Here is a 17,671-nt window from a genome sequence, read left to right as displayed (position 1 = left end):
CATTCATCTATTGTTAATTTCATCTTTTGTATATATTCAAATTTTTTCCCTGGGTTAACATGTGTTGGGAGAATGTCTCTTCTTGTTCCCTGCCATTGTAGGAGGCATGTTTTTTTGCAACCAGCAGCTTTCCATGCCTTTCTTTTATTTTGGTAACTGGACGTAGAGTGGGCCAAGAAAGCATCAACCCACTGCTAATTAAACAGATTTATCCAACTGGATATTGTTAGGAGAATTTAAAATATAAATTGATGAGTGCTTGTTTGGTGCCATTTGAAGTAAAAACTGAAAGGATTTATGGGCTGAGAAGAAAAAGTCTCAGTGTCTCAGATGAAAGCCAGAAAATTTAATGAATTTAAATGTATCCCACCAGGGTGGCCATATTTCTTCTCACTGTGAGACACTGATGCCTCTCAAATTAATGGAAGCAAATTACTATCTTAATCTGACAAATCTATCACTGTTTTATCAAATCAGTTTGCTGGCTCTCAAATAGATCGGGGGAAATAGTAGAGGAGTATCAATGGACTTCTTTCAAAAGAGTCGTGGGCACCCAATACTCTAAAAGACCGTCCTGAGCTCTGCTGTCTTAGACTCACTTCCTCAGACAGAGGTCTTTATGCAAAAATACCTGTAGGAACAAACTCTAGGCAATACCACACTCGAAGCCCACAGAGGGCTGGACCTCTGCCAGCATTTTCTGTCTGTTGCTCTACCTTTTCCGACATAATGAATCTGTGGCCTCCAGAGAACATTTACGAGGACTGTGAACACAGGACGCCTGTGGGGAGACCTGGCTCTCCTGAGCAGCTTTCACTTTATATGCGAGCTCCTTTGCAAGCCAGACCCCCATGCAGCCTGTTGAGAAACCACATTGCCATAACTAACCCGTCAAGTAAATTCTACCACCCCATGGTGGAAATGCTCAATGTGTCTACTCCAAACCTTCTTTGTGGAAATACTTGTGCCATTTATTTGGAGGCATCCTATAGCAAACCGAAGCGTTGGGGATTCTGTAGCCATGTGGAAATGCATGTGCTTCTGTACTTACTTCCATGATGACAGAAGCCAACCACGTAAGTGTCACAGAAACACTGCCATCTCTGCTTCTCTGGCAAATTGGACAATTAAGGCTTATTTCCTACAAGTATGTCTTTCTTTCTTAAGTTGTGTGTTCTTAGTACTTAAAAATGTTTTGATAGTTAGCCCATTAAATATTACCATTCTGGAGGTGGAATTTGCTTTAAAATGTTTCTTTTCCCTTTTTTTTTTCTTTTTTTTTTGCTTCTGCTCTATTCATATACTCTTTCATATTTTCTTTCCTTCTAGTTTTTCTTCTTTTCTTCAATACACTCTCCTTCCTGCCTCTTTCGGAAAAATCTTCCTGTCTTCTTGTCCTTCCTTCCTTCCCTCTTTTCCTTTCTCATTTCATTCTGTTTTTCTTTCTAGTATTTTTTCTACTGCATTTTTCTGAGTTAAGAATAAATCTAATTACTACGATTTTTTAAAAAGATAATTATTTTAAAGCAAACTATTAACTGTTCCTGTAAAAAAATGGTCTGTTACAATAAGCTCTGTGTTTACAGTTTAAAATTTATTTTGGAATAATCAGTGTCTGCATTTGTAAGTTCTGTTCATTTCTCTCTCTTTGGTATTGTACTAATAGCCACTTCATTATCATTTTAAATAATTCTTTGGTATAATTCATTATTAAATGTTGTTTTGAGAATTGTTTTCTCCAAGACTATTTTATTACCATCATGAAATTCATTTAATTAGTATGCTTGTAAAATTAGTACAAATTTTAAAAATAAAATGTAGAGATGTTACTAAGACTCGTTGCTTTAAAATATACTGCTGTCTTTTGGCGGGGAAATCTCAGAACATGAATAAAAATATTAAGAGTATATATGTTCTTCAATCCAGGAATCCCATTGCTAGGACTTTATCCTAAGGAAATACAAATATGGCAAGCATTCACCACTAGAATATTTGTTACAGCACTGTTTATAATAGCTATAAAGTGGAAATAACCTCAATGGCCCAAAACTGAATACTGGCTAAAAAAGTTAGGGTCATCCATTATATAAATTATCATACACCTGTTAAAAATTATATTGTAGGCCGGGCACGGTGGCTCACGCCTGCAATCCCAGCACTTTGGGAGGCCGAGGTGGGCGGATCACGAGATCAGGAGATCGAGACCATCCTGGCTAACACGGTGAAACCCCGTCTCTACTAAAAAATACAAAAAAATTAGCCGGGCGTGGTGGCAGACGCCTGTAGTCCCAGCTACTTGGGAGGCTGAGGCAGGAGAATGGCGTCAACCCGGCAGGCGGAGCTTGCAGTGAGCCGAGATCCCGCCACTGCACTCCAGCCTGGGCGACAGAGCGAGACTCCGTCTCAAAAAAAGAAAAAGAAAAAAATAAATATACATATATATATATATATAGTAGAAGAATATTTTTCATCATATGAGAAAATGTTTTGAGTATATTTTGAAGTAAATAAAACAGTTTACAAAATAAGATACATGTTGTGATCTCAGTTTAGTAGTACATTGCCTCTCACCTCCAAATCTACTTTCATGACCTGTTTTGCTTTCATAGGCTGGACCCTTCAAGCATTTTTTCCTTTGCAGCGAGAATGAGGTTTAGCTTGTCGGTAGAGGGCGCAGGAGAGACACTGCAGGAGGAAGAAGCTACCCCACGAGCCCCGCCCAAGGTTCCCGGACGTCCGTCGGACGGCCGTTGTTTTTCTACTTGCTCCTAGCGCACCACTGCCAGAAGCCTCTGCCCCTGCCACACACCCAGAGCATGCAGTTTCTCTGCAAGTTCTCAGAGAGCCCCAGCCGGTGACCCCCAACAGAGACACCACTCACCCCGGGCCTCTATCTGTCCTGCCAACAAGATGACTCTTTGTGCCCTGGCTGTCTCTGAGGACCTGCCCTGCAGACATATGTTCCCCCTTTTCCCTGCAACCATGCACCAGTTCTGTCTCAGGCAGCCAGGAGAGCTCCACCATTCAATGGAGCTGAGAATCTCTTTTCCCTCACTGTCTGAATCCGTCGTGGGGAAAAGGACCTCCTTCAAAGTGGTTCCTCCCGATTTTCATCCTCAGCCCTAGGATATTGTTTAGAGCATTGTTTTCACCTTCCTAGTTAGGCCTACGTTATAGTTAACAATTATTTATAATAAATTTTCCCTGTTCAAATTACTGTGTGGTTTCTGTCTCCTGATTGGCCTATGACTAATAAACATGTTTATGTAGAAGAGAGGAAAAAAAAGACTGAAACAAAAAGCCAAAACGTTAACAGTGGTTAACTCTGGGTAGTATAATTAGAGGTTGTTTTTATTCTGGCCTTTGTGATTTGCGATATTTTCCATAATATTTTGTAAAGAGCTTTTATTTCATTTACTTATTTTAGTTTCTATTTCTAAGACTATTGTGCTACCTATTTACCTGTGTAGCAAACCTGCATATTCTGCACGTGTGTCCCGGAACTTAAAGTAAAATAAAATAAGATTATTGTGCTAGCAAAAGTTGAGTCTTGATAGTATATGTTGTTGCTACAAAATTCAGATTCAAAACCAAAATGATCGTGTTAGTTTGTCTTTTCAGTGAGCAAATTGGGTGAAGCTTGCCTGACAGTGGGACCACACAGAGCCATGTAATTCCTACTAAGAACTGGCCTCTATACAGGGATCACCCACTCTCAGCTCCCTGAACCTTGGGTTTTAATGTCTGAACTCTGGTTTTAAAGTCAGCCTTTTAAAAAAATTTTTTTCTTATTTAACTGAAATTGCTGATCTCTGTATCATTCCAATTTTAATATATGTGCTGCCAAAGTGAGCACTAAAGTCACCCTTTTAATGCAAAAGTATTAAGAACTGTTTTTGTAAATAGTACGGCGATTTTTTTATTTTTATTTTTATTTTTGAGACAAGGTCTCACTCTGTCACCCAGGCTAGAGTGCAGTGGCATGATCACAGCTCACGGCAGCATCAACCTCCCAGGCTCAGGTGATCCTCCCACCTCAGCCTTCCTAGTAGCTGGGACTAGAGCTACAGCCACAGCCACACGCCACCATGCCCAGCTAATTTTTTGTGTGTGTGCGGAGATGGAGTTTTGCCATATTGCGCAGGCTGATCTCAAACTCTTGGGCTCAACTGATCCACCTGCCTTGGCCTCTCAAAGTCCTAGGATTACAGTTGTTAGCCACAACACCCAGACCAATGATTTTTAAGAGTACTATATTCATCTTGAAAAATACATCATGCAATGTTATTGCAGCCTTCTGCTTTTTAGAGAGACATTTCTATACAAATAGCAAATTGGCTTGTTGCTGTTTCAGCAGAAGTACCACTAATGTAAGAAGGAAGCCATGGTAGGCAAAATTCAAAGATAGCTTTCCAGATACTCAGCCTGCAGTACACACTCCTTCTCCCAGTTATTCAATCAAACACTGCCATGAAAGGATTTTTGCAAATGTAATTAAGGTCCCAAGCCAGTTGACCTTAAGATAGGAAGATTATCCCAGCGGGCCTGACATAATTATATGAGCCCTTTAAAAGTAGAGGATTTTCTCTGGCTAGTTGCAAAAGAGGATCAAGTCAGGTTGAGAGCCCAAGGGGGATTCAACTTCACCATGTGTGAATTTTGAAGATGCAGGAAGCCAAGTGGTGGGGAATGTGGGCAGTCTCCAGGAGGTGAAAACAGCCCCAAGCTGACAGCCAGAAAGGGAACAAGGACCTCAGTCCTGCAGCCACAAGGAACAGAATTCTGCCAACAATCTGAAAGAGACTGGAAGCCCAGGCCTCCAGATTAGAATACAGTGACTAAAAAGCAAACATTGGATCTAGCTGGATGCCACTTATTTTCCAGTGTTCAGTGACACAGACTATAAGCCCCTTGAAGGTACAACATATTCCTTGGGATTATGACCCTTAATTCCCATACATCCATATGGTTGTCCTTGTTGAATAACCCTTCCCCACTACCAACACACACAGTGTTCTGGATTAGGGATTAATATTCTGGATTACAGAGTCTGTGGATTAGTGGTTGGCCGTACTAGATTGCTTTTCTTCCCTTGAGGATATGTTTACAAAGAGTGACTTCATGGTGAGCAAAGACTTGAGATATGACTAGTACTTCTCATATTTTGGTTATGGTTCTGAAATGGAATCATCTCTTATTCAGTAATAGGTCTCTGTTTTCTAACATTCTTTTACCTCTGTTTCCTGCTCCCCTACCCCTTCCACCTTTCTCATAGTCCTTTTTGCCCTTATCTTCCTAATATAATCTCTCTAATCTGGTTACTTTTTGCTTTTATTATCATTATTTTTTGATGTGTGTAGCCATTTTTTCCACTTTCTTTTTTATTTTTGGTCAGTTGTGCAAGGGTATAAGGAAATAAGAGGTATAAACAAGTTATTGGAAACTTTAAGTGATTTTTCTTATCAGCTTTCAAGTCCTCAATAACAGTTTGAAATCTGGTTTGAGATCACTTTAAATGATTTCTACAAGTAATGAGAGGAGAGCTAAGCTCTTAATAGAGGGTAAATAATTTGGAAAGTCCTTAAGAGAAGTTTGTCACTTTGAATTTATATGATGTCACCAAAGTAAAAAGCAAAATTGCTCCCCTGGGACAGGAGTTGCCATGGGACCTCCCACCCACCAGCTGGGCTTTCTCTGCTCTCTGAGCGAGTTGCTTTTATGCCAGTTTCCTAATAGGTATTAATCCTGGTCCACTAATTCCAAATAACTCTACAAACAGTTATTTCTCTAGTTTCCTATAGCCATGTCAACAATAAGGCAAAATAACACTTTATTTCCCTTTGGATAGCTGACTGGGGATTGAATTACAGAAGCCGTGAAATCAGTGAAACTCCTTGAGATGATCAAGTTGGAAGGGCAGTGATGCATGCTTTCTCTGTTGACAAGACTGACATTGTAAGTTTGAAAAGTCTTTATTGCTGTTTCAATCTGTGCTCACCAAGAAGGAAAATGATTTGAAAATCGAGTTGAAAATTCAGCTAGGAGATGAGTTCTTCATCTGCCTTTCCTCTGTGCAAGGTAATTTCCTTGGGAGCACTTTCCCACTGGAGAAACTGGAAACAGCCCAGGGCAGTCATACAAGTCAGAATGAAGGTTAAACCCACAGGACATCTACTTGATGAGTGCTATGGGTTGAATTGTGTCCCCAAAAAGGCGTACATTGAGGGAACTAACAGTACTTGAGAATGAGGTCGTATTTGGATCTAAGGTCATTGCTGATGGAATGAGTTAAGATGAGCTCACGTTGGAGGAAGGTGGGCCCCTAATCCAATATGACCAATAAGGTGTGCTTGGAAAAAGGGCAATTTTGGGCACAGAGACAGACACACTGGGAGAAGGCGATGTGAAGATTGAAGTCATGCTGCCAAGACAAGGGGCTACCAGAAGCTAGGACAGAGGACCGAACGATCCTTCCCAGGACCTTCACAGGAAGCAAGGCTCTGCCCACACCTTGAATCCAGACTTCTGCTGGTCTAAGCCACCCAGTTTGTGGCACTTTGTTATGGCATCTTGTTTCCTCGGAAACGGATATGGTTATGATTCTCCCTTCCTTGCTCTTAACTGAGTGCTCTTGGCAAGCACTGCATCCCCATGACCCTTAGACCCATTGTGAAAATGACAGGGGGTTTGAAGCAGGGGCAACGAGCAGGGTCGCACAAGGCCTTTCGACCCAGGAGCAAACCAGAGATGTCTGCATGGTACTGCCCCAATTCACTCTGCAAAGTCCAGAAACGAGGTCCCTTGCCACACCCATTTCACCGTGGTAGCCAAACCAAAGAGCTGCTGCCCCCACAATTATGACCTAATGTTCCATTCTACTGAACATGGACAGGGACGCAAAGAGGCCATAACAGAATTTGTCTGGAGATGGTTATTTGCTGTAAGTGTATTGTGTGCATATCTTTTTAAATGATGAAACTGCCCACTGAAAAGTGAGGATTTCACTCTTCTCCAGCATACAATATAAAAGAGCAAACACCTTAACCCTACTTTCCATACTATACATTTCTTGCAGTTGCCCAAATATAGCTTCTCGCGTGCATTTTGGAGAAATCTGTTATTTTTAGCAACCCGCCATTTTGAGTCACTAGTATGAAATTAGCCGGATTTTCTTTTTCTTTCTGCTCAAAGGTCTTTGTGGTGATATAATCAAATTAGCTCATTTAAAAGTCGACTGTGGGCCAGGCGCGGTGGCTCACACCTGTAACCCCAGCATTTCGGAAGGCAGAGGTGGACGGATCACCTGAGGTCAGGAGTTTGAGACCAGCCTGGTCAGCATGCTGAAACCCCGTCTCTACTAAAAGTACAAAAATTAGCCGGGCATGGTGGTGGGCACCTGTAATCCCAGCTACTCAGAAGGCTGAGGCAGGAGAATCTCTTGAACCCTGGAGGCAGAGGTTGCAGTAAGCTGAGATCATGCCACTACACTTCAGCCGTGGTGACAGAGCTGGACTCTGTCTCAAAAAAAAAAAAAAAAGTCTACTGTGTACTTTATATATATTTTTCCTGATATTGAAGCTGGTGGGTATTGTAGTTGGCTGCAGTATCAATTTGTTTGATTTTATTCTATAAACATGGAATTAAAGTCACTTAATCTTAGCATGCAGTTTTATGCAAATATATACAAAGTATATGCAAGTGATGCCCATTGTACCTGCAGGGATCCCATCCTTACATTTTAAGACACAGGCTCTGTATTTTAGAGGGAAGTATGCTCCTTGGGAGATATAGATGGAAGTATAGCTTGCCTCTTCACCATTAACATCAGATTTGAACATGGAAACAAATCAGCTTCTATTGTTATTCTGCTCTTGGTTTTTCACAGAACATTCTCCATACTTCAGACTCCCAAAGGAAAGAGTGGGTGGAGCAGAGATGGAAGGGGTCTTGTGCTTATGTTGAGATTTCAGGTTTCTCCAACTCTTGTCCTCCCTGAATTCATTTCACCTCATCCTCCAGTTTCCAGTATGAAGGAGTAACAAATATATGAAGTAAAATCAGAGTACCTTTAGCAAAATGCAAAATGGACTCTTCATAGGAACAAAAGATAAAATTGCTAATAAAGGAGTAGTGTATGTTTAAGATGTATGATAATCCTAATACTTGAGTGAGAAAAGAAAAAAAATTTAAGCATGATTGTGGGCTGGGCACAGTGGCTCATGCCTGTAATCCCAACATTTTGAGAGGCCGAGGTGGGAGGATCACTTGAGCCCAGAAGTTCAAGACCAGCCTGGGAAACAAAGTGAGACCCTGTCTCTACAAAAAATCAAAAAGTTAGCCAGGCATGGTGGTGCACACTTGTAGTCCCAGCCGCTGGGAGGCTGAGGAGGAAGGATTACCTGAGCCCAGAGGTCAAGGCTGCAGTGAGTTGATATTGCACCACTGCAATCCTGCCTGAGAGACAGAGCAAGACCCTGTTTCTAAAATACAAAAACAAAACCAAAAACATGTAAACATGATTGTGCAGCTTCTTACCTATCCCAGTTTCTCCAGATTGTTCTTCCTTGAACATTCTGCTATTTCTCGAGAGCCACCCAAATCTCTGCCCCCAGGAACCTCTCCAAGGAGCCGCAGCCTTATTTCGTGTTCCCCAGTCTTCACTAGGGGCCTCCACAGGCCCAGAGACAATAGAAGAGAATGTGTGGATGAATTAGAGAAACTCCTTTTCCCACTGCAGCAAAAGCAATTCAAAGAGCATGCCCTTCTGGCAGTGGGGCACGCACATCATCTTTCTAGACAACAGACAGCACGTTATGCTTTCAAAACCATCCCGGCTAGAATACCTGAGTCTGTTTAAAAAAAAAAATGATCTGTGGGAAATGGAAGTACCTTTGCAAAATGTGAGCAGAGGGGCATCCTAGTTTGAATGCAAGATTCTCTTCTTGACTCAAACCTTAGCTGGGAATATTTTATTGGGAAGGAGTTTTGTTTCCAGCTGGATGTGATTGATAGAAGATTTGTCTGGGACCTATTGGCTACTGTCACCTAGGCATGATTTCACCTTGTCATTTGGGGATTTCTGAATGCATAAAGGCCCCTAGAGACTCAAGCAGTGGGTCCTAATGTGTACGTAAAAATCCAGAAAAATCCAGTGCTGTCTATTTCCTTGCTTTATGATTCATCAGGGCAGATTGAAATAGTTAATGCTCCCCTAAAACTGAGCAATATACTCTGGCCTCACAAGTAGAATCAAGGCCAATAAACTGTAACAAAGCATAATATTCAGGACATACATATAACTCCACTCAAGGATAATGTTCTACGCATAACTCATGCAGTTAGCTCCAATCAATCCTCCTCCAGTGAACATACAGTGCTAATAGGTCTACTGTGGCCTTTAAATTTCCACCCACATTTTGATGCATACATTCTTTAGAAAGCAAAAATTATTAATCAGAGTAGCCTTTTTTGTGCTTCTGTTATTTGTACCCAGAATCATCTGGAATACAAAATAAGAGGAATAAAAGTCAGAGGTCAAATGATACCCAGTTTGCCATATAAAACTGAGAGTAAAGAGGGAAAGTTGTTTTTTGTCTTGTTTTGTTGTTTAAAGCAACATAAAACTTTTGTCTCTATTTCTAGCACTCTGTTCTGGTTTCTACCTTATGGCTGCCTGTTGCTGGCATATCGCGTGAAATTAGCTATATCAGGCATTTGAAGGTGAAGAGCTGATTTTACAGCTCATTGAAGTTCTAAAGGATGCATTGCACTTAATTAAGATAGTTCTTTACATGGGGTTGAAAAATATTTACAATGTGTCCCAGGCTATCAACAGGTAAAGTTAACCAAGTAACTGGAAAAAGAACTCTTGCCTCCAGATAATAATTTTACAGACTGTTTTACTCTAACACACACACACACACATACTACACATACAAATTCTTCTGCTTAAAAAAAAAAGTGATAGCGTGCAAAGAAACTTACATAGACAAGGAAAAGTAGTATTTTTAAAGCACAGCAAGTGTCCAATTAAAGTTGATTTAAGATGCACCATCAAATGAATTTAATTGCAGGGAAGAGATTACCAACTAGGAACGGAGGCTGCACACTCTAGAAGGTGGAACGTGGGTATGGGACTCAGGTGGCTTTTCGCATTATCTGGACACCTCTCTGCCATGGAATGGCCTCCTCAATACATGCTTCGGGCCCTAATTCACCCATCTGATAACTAGAACAATGGTTCCCATACACCCTTTAGCTCTGACATTGAAGAATTTTGAGACGATTCTATAAGTGAAAACATGAATAAGAAATTTGCTGTGACTCTCTGAAAAGGAAGGAAAAATGTTAGTGGCTGTGGTTTTAGAAAGATTTGAGAAAAGTCCTACTTCATGGCAGGGAAATAATAATGATATCTAGAAATAAAGACCCACAGCCTCTTATCTGAATTCCTTTGCACCAGATGGGTTTCAGAATTCAGAAATGTCAGGAATTTAGAATTATAACCCAGTACATATGTCATATATTACATAATGTCCCCATTGTACTCTGGGCAGCAATCCACAATCAAACATTCACATTTCTGCAGCTAAATATATAGATGTTTATATTAAATGGGATAAAGAAAAATGATCAGTGGCCTCATATTAGGTCATGCCATGTTTGGCTGCCAAGGGAGTTATGCAATAACTTCCAGTTTTTAGAATTTTTTTTTATTCCAGAATAGTGGCTAAGAGGTTGTACATCTGTTCTCCCCTTTTCAATGCAGCATCACACACAAATTTCATGAGCATCTGTCAGTGATGCACTAAAACTAGTAAAAAGCAGGTGATAACTTCCCCATATGACAATGTGGGCCTAAGGGTTCAAAAGGTGAAATGATTTGCCCCAAGGTCTTACAGTTTGTTCTTGGCAAAGTGGGTACCAAGGGTGGGTTTAACAGAGATGGTCTAATAGTGAAAATGTGCAACAAAATATCACTCCAACACTGTCATCAAGGTCCAGCTTTGTAGGGAGAGGTAATAACCTCATCATCCCCATCCCCCGTTCATTGCCATTCCCATTAATACCTACCCTCACGATGATCCAATTATCTGTCTTATAGTAAATTCCACGTATCTTCTTATATGTGCAGAAAAGATTTATTAAGTACTTCTTTTAAAAGGTACAAATTGTTTCAATTACCTTTTAGATAATCTTTCTCCTTTTTATAATTTCTAAGTTGAAGAGCGTAGAAGGTAGATATCTCCCTTACTCTTGCACTGAATGCCAGGCTCCTACTTCAGCTAGACTGCTAAAAACTGAGAGGAAAGGAGACAGGATATAATGTGACAAGAATAAGATAAAACCTAGGAGAATAAATATCAAATATCTGTGGGACCCTCCTTCCCACAGAGTGCAGTATGTGAAGGGCAGGGGGTAGGGGGCCGGAGAGTCACTTTACAGTGTAGAAACCTGACCAAACACTTCCTCAGCCATGTGGCCAAGGTCAGCATTAACAGTGACGGATTCTGTTGATAGGATGTGCCCTAGAAATGATGCGATGAGAATGCACTTCACCTCTGCGGTGCCCACTCCCCCACCAAAAACCCACAACCCCAGGCTAATCATGAGGAAGAATTTTTTTTTTTTTTGAGGAGCATTCTGCAAAATACCTGACCAGTGCCCCTTATAACTATTCAGGTTATCAAGAAACAAGGAACATCTGAGAAATTGTCATCGTCTAGAGGAGCCTAAGGAGATATATGACTAGAGGTAATGTAGTATCTTGGATGAGATCCCAGAACAGAAAAGGGGCATTAAGTAAAAACTAAGGAAATCTGAAGAAAGTATGGACTTTAATAATAATGGACTTGGGCCAGGCGTGATGGCTCACGTGTATAATCCCAGCTCTTTGGGAGGCCAAGGTGGGAGAGTCACTTGAGCCCAGGAATTTGTGACCAGCCTGGGCAATGCAGGGAGATCCTGTCTCTAAAAAAAAAAAAAAAAAATTTAATTAGCTGCGCATGGTGGTGTGCACCTGTGGTCCCAGCTACTCAAGAGGCTGAGGTGGGAGGATAGCTTGAGCCCAGGAGGTTGAGGTTGCAATGAGTTATGACTGCACCACTGCACTCCAGCTTGGGTGACAGAGTGAAACCCTACTTAAAAAGAAATAATAATAACAATAATGTATCTGTACTGGTTCATTCATTGTAACTAATGTACCATACTAATGTAAGAAGTTGTTAGTAGAGGAAAGTGGTGAGAGGTATAAGAGAGCTCTGTATTATTTTTGCAACTATTTTGCAAATCTAAAACTATTCTAAAATTTAAAACTTTATTTAAATAATCACTTTTCCTAATATGCCAAATGTATATAATTAAACAATAAAATGTAAAATGTTTCCATTTTAGGGCATGAAATAACTTACACAACTTACAACTTACACAAAATCAAAATTGTGTTGTTGTTGTTGTTGCTGCTGCTGTTGCTGTTTTGAGACAGGGTCTTGCTTCATCACCCAGGCTGGAGTGCATTATCTCGGCTCACTGCAGCCTCAACCTCCTGGGCTCAGGTGCTCCTCCTGCCTCAGCCTCCTGAGTAGCTGGGACCACAGGCATGCACCACCACCACCAGCTAATTTTTTAAATTATTTGCAGAGACAAAGTCTCACTATGTTGCCCAGGCTGATCTCAAACTCCTGGGCTCAAGTGATGGTCTCCCCTTAGGGATCCTCCCACCTCAGCCTTCCAAAGCACTGGGATTACAGGCATGAGCCACCATGCCCAGCCAAAAAGACTATTCTAGTAGAAAATGTTCTTCATTGTCTGTAATTTATCAATCTGGATTTCTAGAAATATTCATTCATTATTATTTTCCATTTTCCTATTTAAATTTTGGACAAATAAATCTGTAGAACTTAGAATGATACAGGATTTTGTTCATCTTCATGTATTCAGTTTGCAGATGTAATTCATGTAATAGTGGGAAGAGCTGGTGCCTCTGAATTCTCTGCCCAGCAGGTTGCCAGGCATCTGGAACCTCTGCTGCTGAGGACATTACTGGTGCACTTGGCATCCCTTCTTTTAGCTCAGACAGAGCATGTGTGGCCTTAGTTTCAGCATTATCCTGGCGGGCTACAACATCCAATATTTAATCCAATTCAAGACACACCTCCCCAAACCACATTTAATTTACTTTTTAAAGGGATCAAGAATATTTTTTAAGCTACAATATTTTTAAGTCAAAATAAAGCTTCCAGAGGTCATCTCTTCCTATCTCCCTAGACACATCCTAAGATAGTAGACCCCTCTCCCTCAATAGGGGATTGTGATTAGTGAGACCCAAAATAGAGTTGTATAGGGTTGGATTATGTCATCTGGTTTCTCTAAGGTCAGATGTCATAACCCCCTGCTTTCTAAAGGGATTGCTGGGTATTGGCTCATCGACTGATTCAGAAAGAACCCGGTGCTTCTGATGCAGAGTGTCCTCAGACACCTAATCACTGTGGACGGGAGGATTAGGTTTATAAAGAAGACCAACCCGGCCTTTTGTGGATTAGCAGCTGGGGGACCATGGATGTCTTCCTTGTCTGGCATGTTTGGACTTCTCTAAAATGCAGACAGACCCTGGGCCCCTCCTCCTCTGAAGCCCCCTCATGAATGTATTGGGGAACTTCAGGCTTTCCCTTTTTTGGGAAAAATGGAGCTTGCAGCTGGAAAGCTCTTTGCATGACCAGACGGCGCTCCTGTATGCCTTGTCATGCCATTAAAGTTGCTAAAGTGAGGGTGACATGTTAGAAACGTAGCATGAACAATGAGGGGAATCGTGCCCCTTCCCCTCTGATGCTTTGAAAGGTTAGATCTTTCTGGACCAGACGGACAACGTTAACTCTCCTATCTCTTAGTTTGGCAGGATTAGGGAAAGGATAAAGAGATTATAATTTTAATGGAAGACATTTTTGCCCAGAGAGAAGTCTCCAAAGTAGAATCAGCCTTCCCCTGTACCCACTACTCTGCTTCACAGCCCTTGAATCAGTGGCATGGGAAGTCAACATACAGACAAGAGGAAATCACTGAATTCCATGGGGAAATAAATACTCCCAGCACCCTATGATAAATTGCAACTAGATCAGAGCCTCCTGAGTCCCTCACTGCCTCCCTTCTACCTTCAACCCATCTGTGCTCTGTGAAATCCCGTTTCTCCTCAAGGGCCTGCTGTAATACCCTCTCTTCTATGCAGGCGTCATTTATCTCAATCTACCCCATATTCTCTGGTTGAGAAATTCATAAGTACTTGTGGGCTTTTCTCCACTCCCAATATCACCTTACTACATCTTATCACATTGCTTTACAATGATTTGTTTTCATTGCTTTCATTCTCCAGCAGTCTGGGAACTCCTGGTCATATGCATCTTAGTATTCTCAGTGCCTAACTTGTACCTGGCAGACAGCAGGTGTTCAATAACATTTGTTGAATAGATGAATGAATGAGCAGTAGGGGTAGCAATTGCGTGTAAAGTCCAGGATTATGACTGTCATATGGTTTAGGGAAGGGTAGCCCCTCCCCCAGCCTCAGAAAATGAGTTATGATTGTTCTAAGGCTTCAATCTTCCAATTACCTTTTACCCGTGATTGAATTACAAGGAGGCAGGTATGAATTTCTTGTCTATGAAACATAAAGGAAGCCTGTAGAAGGTTCCAAAGAAGGCTTTTGCTTTCCTCATAAGAACAAAAACATATGATGTCCCCTTTTCTACATCTTGGCTGGAGCATCTTTCTATTCGCAGTGCCTAGTTTATTATCTGGCACATAGCAGGTGTTCAGAAAATATTTGATGAAAGAAAAAATGAATGAATAAGTATCAGGGACAACTGTAGGTAAAGCCCTGGCACTACCTTGAATGTGGATGTGATGGCTGGTGCTGCAGGAGCCATCTTGCCACCAAGAAGGAAAGGCTGAGACTCCTAGATATATATGGGGCTGCTGAAGCAACATCCAGACTCTGTCTATCTCCAGACTTCTTCTTATATAAGAAAAGCAAACACCTGTGGATTTAAATCACCATTTTAAATCACCCCTATTGATTTAGAAACCAATACAGAGGTCATATTCTTTTCATTATTGCCTCTTTACCACCTACTGTGTTCAGCCACACCTCTCCTATGGTATGTCTTCATAGTATTATAAGAGTTCACAGTCCCATAGGGAAGAAAACTTGAGATTTTCTAGGCCTATAAATTTCTGCATTAAGTCTTTTGGTGTGACCTGATTGTTCATAAATGTATCTGAGGCTGGGCGCAATGGTTCACACCTGTAATCCCAGAACATTGGGAGGCCGAGGTGGGCAGATCACCTGAGGTCAGGAGTTCGAGGCCAGCCTGGCCAACATGGCGAAACTCTGTCTCTACTAAAAATATAAAAATTACCCAGGCATGGTGGCGTGCGCCTGTAATCCCAGCTACTCAGGAGGCTGAGACAGGAGAATCTCTTGAACCCAGGAGACAGAGGTTGCAATGAGCCAAGATTGTGCCATTGCACTCCAGTCTGGGCAACAAGAGCGAAACTCCATATCAAAAATAAATAAATAAATGTAACAGAGGAATGCAAGTAAAAAATTATAATGCAATGTGTTACGTGTTATATTGGAGATTTTGATAAGGTGCTCCAGGAGCACACACATACAAAATAACTACTACCAATACTGAGAAATCTGAAGTGTGTTGCGTTCTCTCTTTTCAGCAACTGGGAAATTCCCACCCTCTAATCTTCCACCACCTCCTGTTTCCTTCTGGCAATGGAGTCTAAACTCCTTTGTTCTGACTAGGTCTCTGTCACTGGCAAGTTTTAGAAATAAAACCACTAAGGAAATGACAAGTAACTACAATAAAGTCTTTGTTGTTCTCTTTCTTTACAGATTAGTTTTGTACATTCAAGACAAAAAACATTAATTCTTCTTCAAGTTGACCATATAATAGTAGATCAAAATGTTTGTGTGAACAATGAGTTTACTCTAGGGGAAATCTATTCACTGACTGTCCTACAACCTTTCTGTCTCTTTCTTCCCCACAACAGTTCTTCATCTTTAATCCCAACCCAAACAAGGCTGTAGATGGAACTCATCAACATCGTGACAGAGAAGGTCAATAATCTGATTGATGAGTTATCCATTTGACTCTCGGTCTTGTCCATTGTAGCCTCCTAAGATGAATATATCTCATTCAGCTTTTCTGGTAGGTGTCTTGTTTTCCCACATCTTAAAATAAAACACTTGTGTATGCATGTGTGTACATTTTGAGAGCACATGTATTAGAGTAAACTGGGACTCTACACCCTAACTTTTCAGTTAACATAGATAGGTTCTCTTGCATTACTTCTGCATTCACATTTCTTGAAGATAAGTCATTCTACAGATCTCCAAAAGGTTAAAGAAAGGCATCTGCAGTTAGAAACAGCACTTTGGGTAGCATATGCCTTCTTGATATAGAATTAACTTGAGCTATACGGCAAAACAAGTACCTTTCACCAAGAAAGAAAGTTTATGGAAAAAATAGAAGATTCATCAACTAAGAATGATGGATGATTGCAGAAATACTGAAGGAGGTATTAAATATTAACATTTGTAACATGACAATGTCTGTATTTTTATATTTTGCATAAATGAATCATTGACTACTAATATATTACTCTGTGTAATTATTCCCAGAAACCAGACGTCACACTATTGCCTCACCAAAAAAAACTGAAATCTTCTCAAGTCTGAATAGTGACAGAGTTGTCCCTCAAAAAGCTTATGGAGAACCTATTTTTTAATGCAGTAAATGCAGAACACTTCCCACATTCCCCTTGTGGAAGTTGAGAACAGGCTGTAACTTTTGAGTGTTTGGAAGCAGCAGAAGTGGATTAAACCCCAGGGACTGGAACTGCAGGCAGGACTGCTCTCAGCATCTGAAGTAATAGGAAAGAGAGGGGAAAACTCCCCTAACGGACATGTACAGAAATTAAGGGATCTTGCCTGAACCTCTCAAGTTGAGAAAGAATGGAGCGAGCGAAAGAACAAGGAAGGAAAGCAGAGACCATAGAGGCTGCAGTAGGCCATGCTGCATGGGCTCACAGGGCAAAACCATCTGGAATAGAACAGATTGTTTCAGGCTGCAAATGCTGCCAGGTCACAGGATTTCTGGGATTTCTCTCTATCCCCTTGGGCAGGCTAGAAATATAATTCTAAGTATAGTCATGGTAATTATTTTTATCTTTGGGTTGTAAACTAAGTGTCCTTAACCAAGGAAGGCAAATGGGTCTTTATCCATCCAATCTTGACTAGAATTTTAGAAGAGTAATTCTCTGTGGAGGAGAGAGAGAGTTAAATGGTCAGAAAGTTTAAGAAACTCATAATATCATCCCCTTCTCAGAGACATATAATGTACAGAGCAAAATAAAGTCCTTTAGGCCTATTTGAGTTGAAAAACATCTTGTTATCTCAGTAGTTTTCATATTAATTTGAGTCACAGAACCTTTTTTGGCTTGCATTTGGGAAATCATTGCTATAGTGTAGTGGGAGATAAGCCTCTTGTCTAGCCCTGCCGGTACCCACTTCCAGACCCATCACTCAGAGATGTGCAAATGTATAGCATGTTCTCCTCTTTCTGGGAAAGACCAGAATGCAAATAATTCTAACTGGGAAGTTAAGTGT

General features: G+C 40.9%; 1 long non-coding RNA gene across 1 annotated transcript, besides 1 other annotated feature; it reads left to right on the top strand.

The window, feature by feature from the left end:
- Positions 717–786: an enhancer, noted in NCBI's record as "active region_16768". NCBI's record gives its function as "activates an Ori minimal core promoter by ATAC-STARR-seq in GM12878 lymphoblastoid cells {active_cell/tissue: GM12878}" and the evidence as "EXISTENCE:reporter gene assay evidence [ECO:0000049][PMID:35858748]".
- LOC105373744 (uncharacterized) lies at positions 5,267–16,572 on the top strand. Its single transcript, XR_923586.2, has 4 exons — positions 5,267–5,422; positions 5,849–5,955; positions 11,683–11,754; positions 16,054–16,572. It is a non-coding gene; the product is annotated as an uncharacterized LOC105373744 (long non-coding RNA).
- Positions 16,573–17,671: the final 1,099 nt, after the last annotated feature.

Source organism: Homo sapiens, chromosome 2 (genome assembly GCF_000001405.40).
Source record: "Homo sapiens chromosome 2, GRCh38.p14 Primary Assembly".
Taxonomy (NCBI): domain Eukaryota; kingdom Metazoa; phylum Chordata; class Mammalia; order Primates; family Hominidae; genus Homo; species Homo sapiens.
Note: the sequence above shows the minus strand (reverse complement) of the source record. Positions and strands in the feature narration are given on the sequence as shown.